Source organism: Homo sapiens, chromosome 1, assembly GCF_000001405.40.
Source record: "Homo sapiens chromosome 1, GRCh38.p14 Primary Assembly".
NCBI lineage: Eukaryota > Metazoa > Chordata > Mammalia > Primates > Hominidae > Homo > Homo sapiens.
In genome coordinates, this window is record NC_000001.11 from 105,391,615 (window position 1) to 105,408,968 (window position 17,354).

At 34.8% G+C, this 17,354-nt stretch overlaps 1 annotated feature.

The window, feature by feature from the left end:
- Positions 300 to 500: a silencer, noted in NCBI's record as "peak346 fragment used in MPRA reporter construct". NCBI's record gives its function as "represses an SCP1 promoter by STARR-seq MPRAs in K562 erythroleukemia cells {active_cell/tissue: K562}" and the evidence as "EXISTENCE:reporter gene assay evidence [ECO:0000049][PMID:32103011]".

The window sequence follows — 17,354 nt, forward strand, 5'->3', positions numbered from 1 at the left end:
GTATGTTCTTGACACCTCTGTGGGAAATAAATTTACTGTAGGTGTATGAATGTGATTCTACGGTCTCTATTCTGTTCCATTGGTCTCTGTGTCTGTTTTTACGGCAGTACCATACTGTTTTGGTTACTATAGCCCTGTAGTATTGGAACAGGAATTAAAAGAAATTAAAGAATGTGTAAGCAGAAACTCAGTTGTATGTAAGAAAACCCAACTCCCCCTGAGAAAGAGAAAGAGCTGGGGTCCTTTTCAAATTAACTGCCTGTTTTTCTGTGGCTAGTGAGCCTTATCTCTCCTCCTTTCCCAGGCATTGTGAAGACCCTGTTTCTCTAGCTGTGCAGCTTCAAGGTCACTAGACAGATACCTAAACATGTTTCAAGTCGTAAAACATGTTTTTCCTTGAAAAGTAAGAAATGATGTAATGCATGTCTCAATTAAATAACTGTCTTTGTTTCTCACTTATGTAATATGCTTCCCCCTGCATAGATCTCCCCCCGCCCCACAAAATGCTTAAAAGGTAACTTAACTCTTTGTTCAGGGCTCAGTCCTTTGGATGTTAATCCCACTGGGCCAGTGCACCTAAATAATAAATATCCTCCTGAACCCCATCGGTCTCTCTGATTCTTAACAATCCCACAACAGTATAATATGACATCAGGTAATGTGATTCCTCCAGTTTTGTTATTTTTGCTCATGATATCTTTGGCTATTCTAAGCCTTTTGTTATTTTATATAAATTTTAGAATTTTTTTTTTCTATTTCTGCAAATAATGTCATTGGTATTTTGCTAGGAACTGCATTGAATCTTTAGATTGATTTGGGTAGTATGGACATTTTAACAATATAGGTTATTCCAACACATGAAAATGGAATATCTTTCCTTTTTTTGTTTTGGTGTTCTCTATTTTATGTGTGGCTATTGTACATAGGATTACTTCTTTTATTTCTTTTTCAGATTGTTCATTTTTGGCATATGGAAATGCAGTTGATTTTTGTATGTTGATTTTGTATCCTGAAGCTTTCCTGAATTTGTTTATCAGTTCTAATAGTTTTTTGGTGGAGTCTTTATGTTTTTTCAAATGTAAGATCATATCTTCTGCAAACAAAGGTAATTAGACTGTGTTTGTTCCAATTTGAACGCCTTTTATTTCTTTGTTTTGTGTAACTGCTCTACCTAATACTTCTAATATTATGTTGAATAACAGTAGTGAAAGTGGACAACTTTTCCCCCATTCAGTAGGATAGTAGCTGTGGGTCTGTTTTATATGGCTTTTGTTATGTTGAAGTATGTCCCTTCTATATCCAGTTTTTAGAGGGTTTTTATCATAAAGGGATGTTGAAATTTATCAAAGGCTTTTTCAGCATCAATTAAAATTAGCACCTTTTTTCCTTTATTTTGTTGATATTATGTATTACATAAATCAATTTGCATATGTTGAACCATCCTTCTATCCCAGAGATAAATCCCACTGGGTCATGATGAATGATCTTTTTAATGTCTTGTTTAATTCAATTGGTTAATATTTTTCTTGAGGACTTTTGCATCAATATTCAGCAGAGACATTGGCCTGTAATTTTCTTTTTTGATGTGTCTGTTTCTGGTTTGGGTACCAGGATAATACTGGTCTCATATAATTAGTTTAGTAGTATTCCTTTCTCCTCTAGTTTTTGGAACAGTTTGGGTAGAATTGGCATTTGTTATTCTGGTAGATTTCAGTAGTGATGATTGGGTCCTAGGCTTTTCCTTACTGGAAGATTTTTGTTACAGCTTAGATCTTGTTACTCGTTATGGTTCTGTTCAGGTTTTGGATTTCTTCATGGTTCAATCTTGTTAGATTGTATGTGTCTCAGAATTTATCAATTTCTTCTAGATTTTCCAGTTAATTGGCATACAGTTAATCATAGTAGCCACTAATGATCCTTTGAATTTCTGGGATATCAGTTGTAGTGTCTCATTTTTCATCTCTGATTTTTTAATTAGGTCTTCTCTTGGTATTTCTTAGTCTGGCTAAGGATTTGTCCATTTTTTTTTAACTTTTTAAAAGACCAAGGTTTGTTTCATTTATCTTTTTTTTATTTTAAATTGATTTATGTATGCTCTTATCTTTATTATTTCTATTCTTCTACTAATTTGGGGATTGCTTTGTTGTTGTTCTTTTAGTTCTATAACATGCACCATTAGGTTATTTATGTAAAGTTTTTATTATTTTTTATGCAAGCACTTATAGCTATAAACTTCCTTCTTAGTATTGCTTTCACTGTATCCCACAGGTTTTGATATATTATGTTTTCATTATCATTTGTTTCTAGAACTTTAAAATTTTCTTCTTAACTTTTTCGTTGAGCCACTGGTCATGCAGGGACTTATTGTTTAATTCCCATGTGTTTGTATAATTTCCAAAATTCCTCTTTTTATTGATTTCTAATTTTATTCCATTGTGGTCAGAGAACATGCTGATATTATCTCAATTTCTTGAAGGTTTTAAGACTTGTTTAGCAGCCTAACATGTCTTTCCTTAAGAATGATCTATGTGTGGAGGAGAAAAATATGTATTCTGCAGCCATTGAATAAAATATTCTGCGAATATCTGTTAGGTATATTTATTCTATAATGCAGATTAAGTCCAGTGGTTCATTGTTTATTTTCCTCCTGGGAGTTCCTTTCAATACTGGAAGTTGGTTGTTCTCTGGCTATTTTTTTTTGTATTGAAGTCTATCTCACTCTTTAGTATCATTAATATTTCTTTATATATCTGGTGTTCCAGTGTTGGGTGCATATAGATTTACAATTGTTATATTGTCTTGCTGAATTGACCCCTTTATTATTATGTAATGACCTTCTTTGTCTATTCTTACAGGTTTTGTCTTGAAATCAATTTTGTGTGATATAAATATAGTTACTCCTGCTCTTATTTGGTTTCCATTGGCATGAACTAAATTTTTTTTATCCCTTCATTTTAAGTCTATGTGTATGTTTATAGGTGAGGTATATTTCTTGTAGGCAACAAATCATTAGGTCTTGTTTTTTCATCCATTCAGGCACTCTGTGTTGTTTGATTGGGAAATTTAGTTCATTCACGTTCAATGTTATTATGGATAGATAGGGATTGACTTCTGTCATTTTGTTATTTGTTTTCTGGCTGTTTTGCATTGTCCTCTTTCTTCTTTTCTTCCTTCCTGTCTTCCTTTTAGTGAAAGTGATTGACTTTCTCTGGTGGTATGCTTTAATCTCTTGTTTTTATTTTTTTTGTGTGTCTGTTGCATGTTTTTCATACAATTTGAGGTTACCATGAGCCTTCTAAATTCTATCTTATAAACCAATATTTTAAACTAATGACAACTTAACACTCATCTCATTAACAAACACACACACACAAACCAATAGAAACTTTATATGTTAACTTCATCCCCCCACAGTTTTACTTCATGAGGTTTCTCTTTATGTCTCATTCTACTATGTCTTGAAAAGTTGTTGTAGTAATTACTTTTTATTGTTTAGTGTTCCTACATAAGTCAAGAATAGTTTACACACCATAATTATAGTGTTGTACTATTTTGTTTCTCTGTGTGCTTCTTATTGCCAGTGAGTGTTTTATCTTCAGATAATTTTTGTCTTATTTCTTAACATCCTTTTCTCGTAAAACAGATCTGGCATTGGTGAAATCACTTTTTTTTTTTTTTTTTTTTTTTTTTGGTCTGGGAAGGTCTTTACCTCTCTTTCATGTTTGAAAGATATTTTTGCTGGATATACTATTCTACGGTAAGAGTGTTTTTTTCTTCAGCCTTTAAATATGCTGTACCATGCTCTCCTGCCCTGTGAGTTTTCCACTAAAAAGTCTGTTGCCAGACATATTGGAGCTCCATTGTATGTCATTTGTTTCATTTCTCTTGTCCTTGACCTTGGGAGTTTTATTTTTAAATGACTTGATGTAATATTCCTTGGGATAAATCTGCTTGATATTCTATAACCTTATTGTAATTGAATGTTGGTATCAGTCTCTACGTTTGAAATGTTCTTGGATATTATCCCTTTAAATTAACTTTCTACCCCTATATCTTTCTGTACCTCCTCTTTAAGGCTGATAACTCAGATTTGCCCTTTTGAGGCTACTTTCTAGGTCTTGTATGTGTGCTTCATTGTTTTTAATTCTTTCTTTTGTCTCCTCTGACTGTGTATTGTTCCAATAGCCTATCTTCAAGCTCACTAATTATTTCTTCTGCATGAACCCTTCTGCTATTAAAGAACTCTGATGGCATTCTTCAGCAGGTCAATTGAATTTTTCAGCTCTAGAATTTCTCCTTGGTTCTTTTTAATTATTTCAATCTCCTTGTTAGATTTATCTCTGATAGAATGCTGAATTCCCTCTCTGTGTTATCTTTTGAGTTTCCTCAATACAGGTATTTTGAATTCTCATTCTGAAAGGTCATAATATCTCTGTTGTGGGATTGGTTCCTGATGCCTTGTTTAGTTCATTTGGTGGATCATGTTTCCCTGGATGGTGTTAATGCTTGCAGATGTTCTTCAATGTTTGGTATTGTAGACTTAGGAATTTACTATTGTTTTCACAGTCTGAGCTTGTTTGTGCTTTCGTTCTTGAGAAGACTTCCCTGGTAAACAAAGGACTTTGGGTCCAAGTCCAATAAGGCTATGTTTTTTGCAGACTGATAGAGGTATAGTTTTAATGGTCTTGAATAAGATTCAGAAGAATTATCTGGATTACCAGGAAGAGACTGTTGTTTTCCGCCTTACTTTTCAAACAAGATTTTTCCCTTGACACCCTTTGTGGGCAGGAGCTGAAGTGGCTCTTTTCACTCAGCCTGTCGCTGGCCACTGCTCCTGAAACAATGTGGGCAAGCAAGCAAGCATGGGAACTGGAGGGAAAGGCCTGCTGGAACTGGCTGGTCACTCCTCTCTGGCAGAAGTAGGCTCTGTGTGAGCCCCACAGCAGCATTCAAGCCCCTGCCCTCTCAGCACCCATGTTCTTGTCCAGCATCCAGGAAGCATCAGGTCACATGAATGGATTCAAGAGTAGTGCATGGGAAAGATTCCCGTGGGTGATAAAAGTGGCTCTCTGCAGAATGGGGAATTGGAAAGGGGATGGTGCAGGAAGGAGGTGATCCTTCCATGAAGCCACACTATCTGAAATTAGCTGTGTCTATCCATAGTCTGACACTCAGCTGTTTGTATCTCCAATGTTCAGCAGCTTGTATTCCTGCCAGTTAGCTATTTGTGTTGCTCTGCCAGCTGAAGTCTTTTCATGGGCAAAGAATAGGGGTGTTTCAGGTCAAAAAGCCACAGAAAAATGGGGTCAGCTACTTTCACTTAGGCCACTCCAGGCTTAAGGGTGGAGTTTAGCTGGGAACCCACCGATTCTGTATCATATTCCCCCTCTGAAGAAGCACATTTAACTGCCATTAGAATATGGATGGTGACTGACCTCAGCAACTTCCTGCTGAAAGGGAGTACTGTTTGGGAAAATAGAAGTCAGATTCCTCCTGAGGTCTACACAAATGTCCCTGGCAAAAGGGAGCCATTGTCCCAGGTTCCAGCTACCTGCCCGTTTGGAGCCTTGATGGCCTCTCGGTGAGACAAACAACAAGCTTTAAAAGGTTAAATATGCATGGATCAAACACGTGTATTATACAAGGAAAGAATCTCATGCCAGTGATTACAGAAATAAGAAGTAAAATATACTAACAACATTGTACCCCAAACTGTCTCACCCTGGTGAAAGAATTAAATCTTATATGGGAGTGGTTAAACTTTATGAGAGATATAACTGTTCTTACCATATCTGTAGCAATCAACAGGTGACCCTAAGGAAATCTCAGGTTTGTGGGCTTGCAAACTTCAGGAGATCCTCTAAAGTACTATCTGGTTCCAGGGTCTGGTTCTGAGTATAAACTGAAGGCAGTAGAATTTGTTGGTTGCCTATTCTGAAAGATAAGGAATTCAGAATCCGTCATTCTTTTTTTTTTTTTTTTTTTTCAGTGAAAAGTTGGAGTGTGAGGGAGAAAGAAAGTAGGTGTCTTCCCTTTATTTTCATCCTTATTCCTAAGTCCCAGCAACCTTGGCAGGTGCCACCCATGGGAACCAAAGTGGCTTTCACCCATGTTAACAGGGGGTCTAGGGATGGGAATATCTACTCTTGCTGAAGTACACCCTACCTGGGCCTCATTTATGCTACAGAATGTGGCCTCCTTTCGTGAAATGGGGATTTAATTGGCAGGAACTTGCTTGCCCATTTACACTATGCCTGTTGCCTGGCTTTGGATCCCTCAGATATGGTTTTCCTTTCTAGGGCCTCAACCTGAAGCTTGGAATAGAGTTTGAGACAAGAAAAAAAGATGTTTCAGGGTCTGCATAGATTTATTTAGATTAAGTCCCAGATAGGCTTTGCCAAATTTACTGTTATCAGTCAGCAAGGGTTGCCCCTCTGTTGCTTCCCTACCATAAGCAGAATGCTGAGGTACAAAGAGAACTCTGTCACTTAGAAAAGAAGAAAAACAACTTAAAGTGCATAACGTGGGGGTTTGGGGAGCTGAGGAAATAGCCATTTGCTCTGTAGGAATGGGTTCCCTTTAATCACTGTATCCTTTCCCTAGTTCAAACTGGCTAGACGCCTGTGAAGGGAAACAGAGCCAACATATTCCTATTACCTAAAGGAAAGAGAGAGGTGGCAGGGTCTTGGAAAAAAGACAGATCCAACAGTTCCTCATTTTAACTCACAATTTTTTGTATCCTGGATGAGCCCTCAGATGAGACAGGATTGTTCCCTTGACCGCCTTTGTGGGATGGAATTGGAGTAGCTCCTTTCACTCAGCCTGCCACTGGCCACTCCTCATGAAACAGAGCATGCAAGCAAGCACTGGAACCAGAAGGAATGAACACGGAAACCAGCTGGTTGCTTCTCTCTGGCAGGAGCAGGTTTTGTGAGGGCCCTGCAGCAGCATCCAAGCCCCTGGCCTCTGGGCACCTGGGTTCTTGTTCAGTGTCTAGGAAGTAAAAGGTCACAGGAACAAAGGATTGAAGAGTAGTGCATGTGGAGAATTCCACTGGGTGATAAAGGTGGCTCTCAGCAGGGTGGGGAATTGGAAAGGGGATGGTGCAGGAAGAAGGTGATCCTTTCCTGAAGGCTCACCATCTGAAGCTAGACACATCTATGTATAGTCTCTTGATGCTCAGACACTTGTATCACTGCTGGTCAGCTGCTTGTGTTGTTCTGCCAGCTGAAGTCTTTTTATGGGCACAGGACAGGGACATGGCAGCCCCAAAAAAGCAACATTTGGGCAGAAAAACAGGGTTAGCTATTTTCACTTAGGGCCTTTGCTCCAGGTTTAAAGTGAAGTTTAGCCATTCTGTATTTCTTTCTCTGAAACAGAGTCTCTCTGTGCTGAGACACCTGGAACTGAGGGTGTGGTGATGCATGTATCCCTATGGCCACCACCACTAGGACTGTGCTGTGTCAGACCTGAAGGCAGCACTGCTCTGGGCCTTGCACAAGGCCCTTCTCTTCAGGACAAGGTGTCCCCCTAGGCCTTGGGCATGTCCAGAGATACTATCTGAGAGCCAGAAATTGGAGTCAAAGACCTTAGCAATTTGTCTGATGTTCTGTTCTACTGCAGTTAAGTTGTCACTCAAACCACAATACAAAGTCCTCCCTGCTCTTCTATCTCCTTTTCAAAGGCTGAGAAGCCTCTCCCTGTGGTCATCACCAGCACCAGTTCACATGGTTTTGCCAGGCAACAGCCAATGTTCACTTAAAGCCTATCACCATTATTTTTGATACTGCTTATTTAAATAAGAAATTTACTGAGTTATTTACTCACCATCATTTTCTATATTATAGTTTTCTGCTTATAGTTATTTATATTCTTGCTGAAGCATTTCTGTGAATGTTTTGAAAAAATATCATTGGATAATAAACTTTCCTAAAACTTGTTTCGGAGAGCCTATTGAATTGGCCAAGATACTCAAATTATAATTCTACTTATATATGAAATATTATGTTCAACAATTTAAAAAACTATTAATATATTTACCTGCTTTTGAATGTCACCTAGGGAGAAATTTGAAGTTAGTATTATTCCTCTCTCATCAGTGAACTTTTTCTTATCTAGTGGATATGAAATGGTCATGTTTTCTTTGAGATTCTTCAGTTTAAAACCAATATTTATAATATGTGTGCATTTGTTTTGCCTTTATTTGCCTTGCTTGTCATTTTTATGATTGATTCCTGAACATTCTATTTATTATATCATAAAATATTTTGATCTTTTTTATATGTTCTATTTGATGACTCATCAAATTTATGCTACCATTTTGATAGCTTCCTTATGTTATCATCTAGTTTATTAACTTCATGTGTTGATCATATTCATATTTCTTTGTAAGGTATTTACTGAGATCTTTACTTGAGGGATTAAAATTTTTTACACAGTACTTAAATTGGCCATGTCTCATAATGCCTGTTCCTGACGCAAGTTTGTAATCTCATCTCTTATTTTTCTGGGCAGACTTATTATGTTTTCTAAAAATTGTAGTTTTGCCTGTATATAAATTTAATTGTTTAGTTTGTTACTTTTTTATGGTGCTGTGGTCCTCAGATATCTGTTTTCTTCTTGCAAGATTATCATGTTGGTTTACATATTACATAATTACTTAGTAACTCATATCTGAGGAAAGAGTTACTAAACCTTGCTTTGTGCTACTTTATGAGAACATTCAGTAATGGGGTGAAAATTAGGGCAGAGAACTTTCAGAATTGTATATGGTTATTGAACATATCTTACTTAGTTTATTCATTCCTCCACTATCCAATATGATGCTGATCCTTAGGGAAAGCCCCAGGTCCTCTGAGTCTTACGTTTCAATATTAAGTTTGATGTTTACTTTAGGTTTCCAGTAGATAAATTTTAAGACAATCAAATACACACAGAGTTCTGTTTTGTGAAGAGTTTTTTTTGTTTGTTTTGTTTTTATTTTTATTTATTTCTTTCTGAGACAAGGTCTTGCTCTGTCACCCAAGCTGGATTGCAGTGGTGCTATCACAGCTCACTGCAGCCTTGACCTCCTGAGCCCAAACAATCCTCCTACCTCAACCTCCCAAATAGCTAGGACCACAGACTCATGCCACCACGCCCGGCTAGGGTTATTATTATTATTGTCTTTTATTTTGTATAGATAGGGTCCTCCTATGTTACCTGGGATGGTCTTAAACTCTGGGGTTCAAGCTGTCCTCCTGCCTTGGCCTCCCAAAGTTATGGGATTACAGAAATGAGCCACCATGCTTGGCCTTGTGAAGAGTTATTATTATCATTAGTATATGCTATTTTTTATTTTATTTTTTTCTGAAACTGATGATATTATGTTCTATTTATAAGTCATGGTTGATGAAGACATGGTCTTTGACAAATGAGGACATAGAAATTCTCCTCCTATCACATTTGTAAGCCCTCATGATGAGTAGGTGAATTGAAAAAAGTAGAATTCTGCTACCAAAGTTAATAAATTCATATGAAATAATTTCTCTTCATATGGAGGAAAAAATTGAGTATTACCTATGTATAGAGGCTTTATGTGATCAAGGTAATGCCAATAATTCTTCTAGGCAAAATATTTTACCTTCTTTTATCTCACTCTGGGTTTCCAAGGAAACGTTATTTTGAAGGAAATTGTACATTCTTACCTTTCTTTTTATTTGTTTTTGTTGTTGGTTACTTCTCATCAGTCTCAGCTTGTTGGCTCTATTACTTTGCTATTTGTATACAATTCCTTTAATTATAAAAATAAAACACAATGATGACCTGATGCTAAACAGATCAATGGGATGAGTAGACATTTTAAAAATTTTCATTATTTTTTAGTTTGATAATTCTAGAAATTCTTCTCTAAAATGTGTAATGCTCTGCTAATTGCTCTAAATTTATATTAATGTATCTTTGATAGAGTGGCCTGAAAGAAGTAGGTGGAGTCAACTCTGTGGATTCTTTAATCCCCAAATGTTCCCAATTCCAGTATTTCAATTGTGGCTGATTCCTAGTAGTAAAATAGTATTCCAGTGGATTTTATGTTTACTTGTGTTATTTCAAAGGGCCTCAAATAACCTCATTTCCAGCCCTTTCTAAGTTATGGATATTATTTCATTTCTAATGGCATTTTCTTTTTTCCCATATAATGATATTACTGCTTCTAAGAGGGGATAATTACAAATCTATTACTCGTGTCTTCCATCAAACTTGTCCCATCTGCATTATATATAATGAATTCAGTCAATGTTTCTGGCTGTTGAATAATAACCTTCCCTAATTTTTAGTGATGTTGGAGGTTTCTGTCATTTGATTTGTAATAACTTTATTCATTTCCTAGGATATACAGGGCAAGCAGAGAATGAGTAGATAGAGGTGAAATTGTATGGTCTTTGTACTCAATGTACAATATTATGTGTAAATCTATAAAAATGTATTACTTTACCTTTTCAGAAAGATACAGAACACATTCAATAACTTGTTTAACTCAAGTTTTCACATGCTACCTAAAAAATTATTTAACCTGGAAATAATAAAAATAATCTAACTTTACCCACTTGTTTACAATATCAATGTGGGACTTTATCAAGATTTCATGTTTGCTTTTCTATTACTTTAGTCTAATCTAGATTCCAGGTGTTATCCAGGCAAATTAATTAATTTATGTTTTCCCAGAAAAGAATTAGCATAATGTAACCAGTGATCACTCTCCTCTGGATTGGGTAAGAATTAAACAGCTATTTTGAATGAGATATTAGTGATATAAGGTAAATACTGATTTGCTTCTTTTCAGTCTTTTCTTTTGTAAACTGTCTTATACCTTCCATGTAGAAATATTTTGAGCTGGAATAATAATAGAAAATCATAAAACAATCTGACCAATGAGATAATCTTATGAACAAAAGAAGCAACATTTTTGATGCGGTCTTGTAAATTGTAGTAAGTTGCCATTTTTAGAAAAGGAAATCTTATAAAACACAATAAAATGTAGCTCCTTAAAAAACGATGTATTTTTTGAATAGACAGGTAAAAAATAAGTACTACAGTTTAATACACATAAATGAGAGAAGGCCACCGCTGTATATAAACAGTCCCTTTTAAATTAAACAGTGTGCTTTAATTGAATTGCCTGCTGAGCCAAACAAAAATCAGGTCTCTCCCAGAATCAGACTCTGACTGTCATGCACTTTAAGTAAAAGCAAGCAAAATATCTCTCCATGCTTTCAGAGAATGCTGTAGCTTTCACAGAGTTTTGGAAAGCTTTTCAATACGGTTTTTTATAATTGCATTTTTCCCCAGGTTAAAAGAAATCTCTAATCACAGTGCCTTTTTTATTCCCTTGGGTACTTCCCTACCTGTGTTACAGGAGAGACCACCGTGACTCGCAGTAGGAGCCCTCTTTGTAAGATTCAAACTAATTTTATACAAAGTTAATTGAAGCTTTAGACTATTGAATTTTTTAAGTAATGAAACTGCCTTTTCAGAACTTTTCCACTTAATGTCTGTTCCTTCATGGAATCATTTATCATTTCTAACTGGCACAGTAAAATCTGTGCCATATACACATAAATATGTCATATTCATATGAATCCTACAATAGATTAGTGTAGTGTGTGTGCTGTATAACACATGACAAAAGTTAAATTTTTTATAGAAAATTATTTAATGATATACAAAAGAGAATGAAAATACGTGTTTAATATGTGTTTAAAACAGTTTACAATGTAGTTAAAAAGAAAGCACTTATTTTATCTCAACCTCATTAATCAATAGATCACTGTTCTTTAGAATCCTTCTTCATGTTCTCTTCTCCATCGTGTGCATCTCTCTCTACTCTAGTGCCAATCACTAATTTACTTTGATTTTTGTGATCAGCACGTTATACCTCTTAAATATAACTATTATATCATATCTGTATATATTCCAACCTAATATTAAGTTTATGCTTCCTTTCTGAATTTGTAGAAATGAAATCCTGCAAAATGTTGATGCATTTTTATGTAATTCATTATTTCATTATACAACTTTATTGCTAATGGATATGTTGGTTTGTGTTTTACAAAAATGAATAAACTGCCAAAAATATTATGGTATGTGCCTCCTTGTGCTGATTTTCTAATAGGTTATATTCAGGTTCATTTTTAGGAGAAAAATGCAAACTGTTTTCCAAAGGATTTTTAGAATTGTACTCTCTGTTAATTGGCATATCAACCAAACTGCCATTACAAAAAGTCAAAAAGTATAGTGGTTTGGATTTTTTTTCCACAAAACATTACAGAGTTGGACAGTGCTGAGCGAAAAGAATAGTTCTACTTCTGACTTTATTCGAGGCCAGGTTTCTTTACCTTTTCTCTCTCCAAACTCCAAGGGTTTTTGTCTTCATTTACATTGTGTTAGGGCTCAATTTTATATCCATATTTCTATGGAGGGAAAAAGTAAAACAAAAGTATAGGACAAGTGTATTGTTTCCAATAAAATGATCCTGAAGTTACACTCATCTTTCCGTTCAGATCTTGTTAACACCCATTTACTCACATGTCCATATGAATCTTAAAGGAAGGCTAGGAAAACCAGTCACTAATTTGGCAATAGTCTCTCTCTGGCCACTCAAGTATTCATGTGCCTGCTCCTTTTGTACATGAAACACACTCCATCCTCATCAAGGAAGACCTTTCAAAAGTCCCATACAATGCATGCATCCAGCTTAATGTCTAGCTCAATGTTTGGGAACTCTGGGGTCTGCACAATATTTTCCAATAGCTGTGGACATGGTTCATTATTAAAACAACTTATGAATATTAATAAATAGACATCAATGCAAGCCCCACATACACTCCTAATCAATACAGAGTAGTGAAAGGGAAGAGAGTAATCAAAAAACTTTCATTTAGAAAATGAAAATAAAAAACGGGAAAACTCAGTGGTGATTTGTACGTTACAATAATAAAATCTTACTGAGCCAGATTTCCAAGTGTGAGTATTCTGAAAGTGAAATAAAATACTTGTTTTAAGACTGTTTATATTATTTATAAGAAATTGACTTTAAAATATTCTCTGTGCTGTGCCATCCACACTTTCCTTATTGAAAATTATTCTCTTCCTATTAAACTATGTGGTCATATTCCAAGTGAGCACTACAGAATATTGTATCACAGAGCTTGTGTGCATGGCTTATGTAGCCCATGCTTTGCTGGAAGGTTGCTCTAGGATGGAACCAATAATAGGCCTTTGACAACTAGTCTTTTGATTTCTATTGCAGATATGCACCTATCTATAAACAAAAATATAAATATATGAAACATTAATTTAGATAGATAAATAGATAAATATAGAAATTTAAAGGTTAGGAAAAAATATTGAAAGCTAACACAGTAGGAAAAAAAAAACACAAAATTTGAAAACAAAGTTGAGAATACTTTCCAGAAAGTGTGTAAAATAAACCAAATAAAATTAATAGATCAAAATAAAAATGTGCAAATAATATAAGTACTAGGAAGGCTCAAGAAAGAAATAAAATGAGAGAATTTTAGAAGATAAAAACACTGAAATTCTACTTAACGAAAGGGTGTATATTTCCAAATTAAAATGATATGCTTTTAGACACTTTCTGATAGAAAGATCTGAAAAAAGAAAAAGAAAAAAGAAAAAAAAGAATATCTGTAAAGAAATGTAAAGCTCATACAAAATTGATTGATAACAAGAATGACTCCTGTTTTCTTTGAAACAACACTGGAAACTTTCAATATGCAAAATGAGAATCAGATATAATTTCAGACTATAACGCATTTATATAGGCAATACTCCCATAGTTCTTTTCACAGAATGCTAATAAAAGATGCTTTGCAGAAGAAATAAACAAAGTAAAAAAATAAACAGGAGGCATAAACTTTTTAAAAATGCTATATTTGAGAAGTGTTATGGTGAAGATAGTACAGGAATTAGTCTATATTTGAGGAGAAGAATGGAAGTCTCCCAAAAAAGTCCCTCCTGCAAATAAAAGAGAGATCTCTGATGTGTATGAATGTATTAATAAGAGATTTAAAATTCTAAACGATAGTTATGAATGAATACATAATGCATATATAGAAAATTAAACAGAATACATTCTGTTTAATTGAGTCAATCACTAAGTCAGTGACAAACAAAAATGATACAAAGTAACACATATGTTTATTAAGCATTATGTGGTTTAGCAGTGAGTAATATTACACAGACTTTATTGTATAAATATAATTATCTTAAAACTCAACAATGAAACGAATTTAGGTAGGTTATGAAAAAAGACATGAGTACTTGTGTTGTGGGTGGGAATGTAGGGAGACTGGGAAAGTATAAAGCAGATAAACTATTGATTCCTCCAAAAAAACCAATAGGTACATCAAATTGAAAACTTAAGAAATTGAGATATAAGTACGCTACCTAGAGATGTGGAGATAGATACCAAAAGAAACAATTAAAAAAAAAGTGAGCATTTCTGGAGACAGGAATTGGGAATGGTAAGCAATGGTAAGGAGTACAACAACATCCCATGACATTTTCTTTAAATGCATTTTAGGAGTCTGGCTTTTTAAGGTACATACATTTATTACTCTGGTAAAAATGAAAATTAAGCGGATTATATGGACTTCAGAATGTAGCACTTATTTATAACTCAGTAATAATTAACTTCATAGCATCACACCCACTTATCTATCATTAGTTTTACCATTGAGAGGTTTGATTTGTCTGTAGAATGGGATAATACTATACACTACTTAGGAGTGCTATGCAAATGAAATTATATATGTCTGTAAAATTTCTAAAGTAAAATCTAAAGGGCATATGATAAGAGTTAAACTAATGTTAATTCTGCCATTTTAATTGATGAGGGAACTAACTTCTGGAAAGTTTAAGTGATATGTTCAAATACACAGGGATGTAGAAGGAATAAAAATCTTTCACATCAAAGCTCCTACTGAAAGCATTACCTTCATTGTGCTACTTTTTACCTGGCTTATTTACATTAAGACACACATCCTAATGTACCTATCTGTGTCCAGTAAGATAATCAAGAATGAAACCAAAATATTCCAAAGTCATTTCTTCATCTAAGTCTGTCACATTGTTATCATTTAAAAAGTGGGAAAGTACATATTCAGAAGAGGATGTCTAATAAATTTTAAATTATTTATGTTTTTTTCTCTTTTCTATTTTCTTTCATTGTATTTCACATAGTTTCAGTTTCTACCTTTAAAAAATCCTCAAAGTTTAATATCTCTTACTGTGTGGTAGCTATAAAAATGGTAGGGAATAAAAATTGAGTATTTATGAATAATTTTCAGATGACTTTGATAAATGATGAAATTCATCATTAACTCAAACATGGTTTTTGCTTTTGAGTAAACAATATATTGTTACAAGTACTGTTCAGAATTCAACATGCCTACAAAGTATATAGCAATAAAAAATACATTAACATCATGAATGTCTGTACAAGAAAAAACTAGCAAAAAATGGACAATAAAGTAAAAATAAAATTATATTAGATGTTACTTTAATTTCAGTGCTTCTGTTACTGGCATGGGATTTGGAAGATTGTGGAGAGAACATTAATGCCAAGTGAGTCTTCATTGGGATTGATCAATTCACGTTGCCATAAAACATATCACAGAAATGAATATAGATTGTGGTTTAATACTTAATAAACACTTATTTCTTAAGCAGGAGCTTTCTTCAGGAAAGTGTCTTCTCAATTGCAAATAAAAAATATCACATCATGGGGGAAATTTCTGGATTTTATGTGATTAATCATGTTGTTGGTGAAAAAACATTGATATATCAACTGGTGCTTAAGAAGAATTTATGTATATATATTTCATAAATTTCAGTGTTAGAAAAAATGCAAAAACTGCATATGACTTGTATGATACTATATTTTAAAAGCTTGATATAGTCTAGGCATACATTCCTTCATTGATCCTTTTAGATGTCATTCATATTGATTCATTAAACATGTATTTATCATGAATGCACAACAACTACATTGTGTTTCTTTTTTTGCACTGAGAATAGAACGTGGAGCAAAAATAAACTGAAATGTCTTTCCTCATTTTATTAAATTAACAAAAAAATTAATTACTAAAATAGAATGTAAAACAGTGATACATACCATGGAGGAAAATGAATTAGATAAAGGAATAGAGATGTCAGCTACAATTTTAGATTGGATTGTCAGTATTAGGGGTTGAATTGTGTCCATAAAAAAAATACGAAATTTGGCTGGGCGCGGTAGCTCACACCTGTAATTTCAGCACTTTGGGAGGCCTAGGTGCGTGGGTCACCTGAGGTCAGGAGTTCAAGACCAGCCTGGCCAACATGGCGAAACCCCAGCTCTACTAAAAATACAAAAATTAGCTGGTTGTGGTGGTGCACACCTGTAATCTAGCTTCTCAAGAGGCTGAGGCAGGAGAATTGCTCCAACCCAGGAGGCAGAGGTTGCAGTGAGCCAAGATCGCACAATTGCACTCCAGCCTGGGTGACAGAGTGAGACTCCATCCAAAAAAAAAAAAAGATATGAAATTGTCTAATCCCTACAACCTCAGAATGTAACCTTATTTGGAAATAAGGTTGTTAGGTTGTTGTAGATGTTAGATGGAATTAGTTAAAATTAGGTGATATATGAGTAGGGTGAGGCCTTCATCCAATTGGACAGGTGTCCTTATAAGAAGATAAGAGAGACACAGAGGGAATACAGCTATGTAAAAGACACAGAGACACAGGGAGAATGCCATATGAAAACAGAGGTAGAGGATGGGGTGATATATCCACAAGCAAAGGAAAAGTAAGGGTTGCTGGTTGTCATCATAAGCTAAAAGAGAAACATGGAAGAGATACTCCCTCCGTGCTCTCTAAAGGAACTCACCCTGACTAGTTCCTAGAATTCAGACTTCTTGCCTCTACAACTGTGAGAAAATAAATTTCTGTTATTTTAAGCCACCCAGAAGTACCAAAAGTTTGTGGCACTTTTTAAATAGTAGCCCTGGGAAATAAATACAGCCAAGAAAACCTCACATAAAAGGTGATCTCTCAGTATAGACCCAAAAGAGACAAAGATTGTCTCTTGAAGAGATTCCATATGAAAATCAGTGGAAGAGATTCCAGGCAGAGGAAAATGCAAGTTTAGTTTCTGAGGCTAAAGGGTAACTCCTATGTGGCTGGAGCAGAGTGATTAGAGAAAGAGGTTAGAGGCCAATAAATTCCATGCATTCAGTGTGTGCGTTGGGGGTGGTTTCAGGGGAAACAAACTATTCAGGCCTTTCCACCTTAATGCTTAGATTTTGGCTTTATCA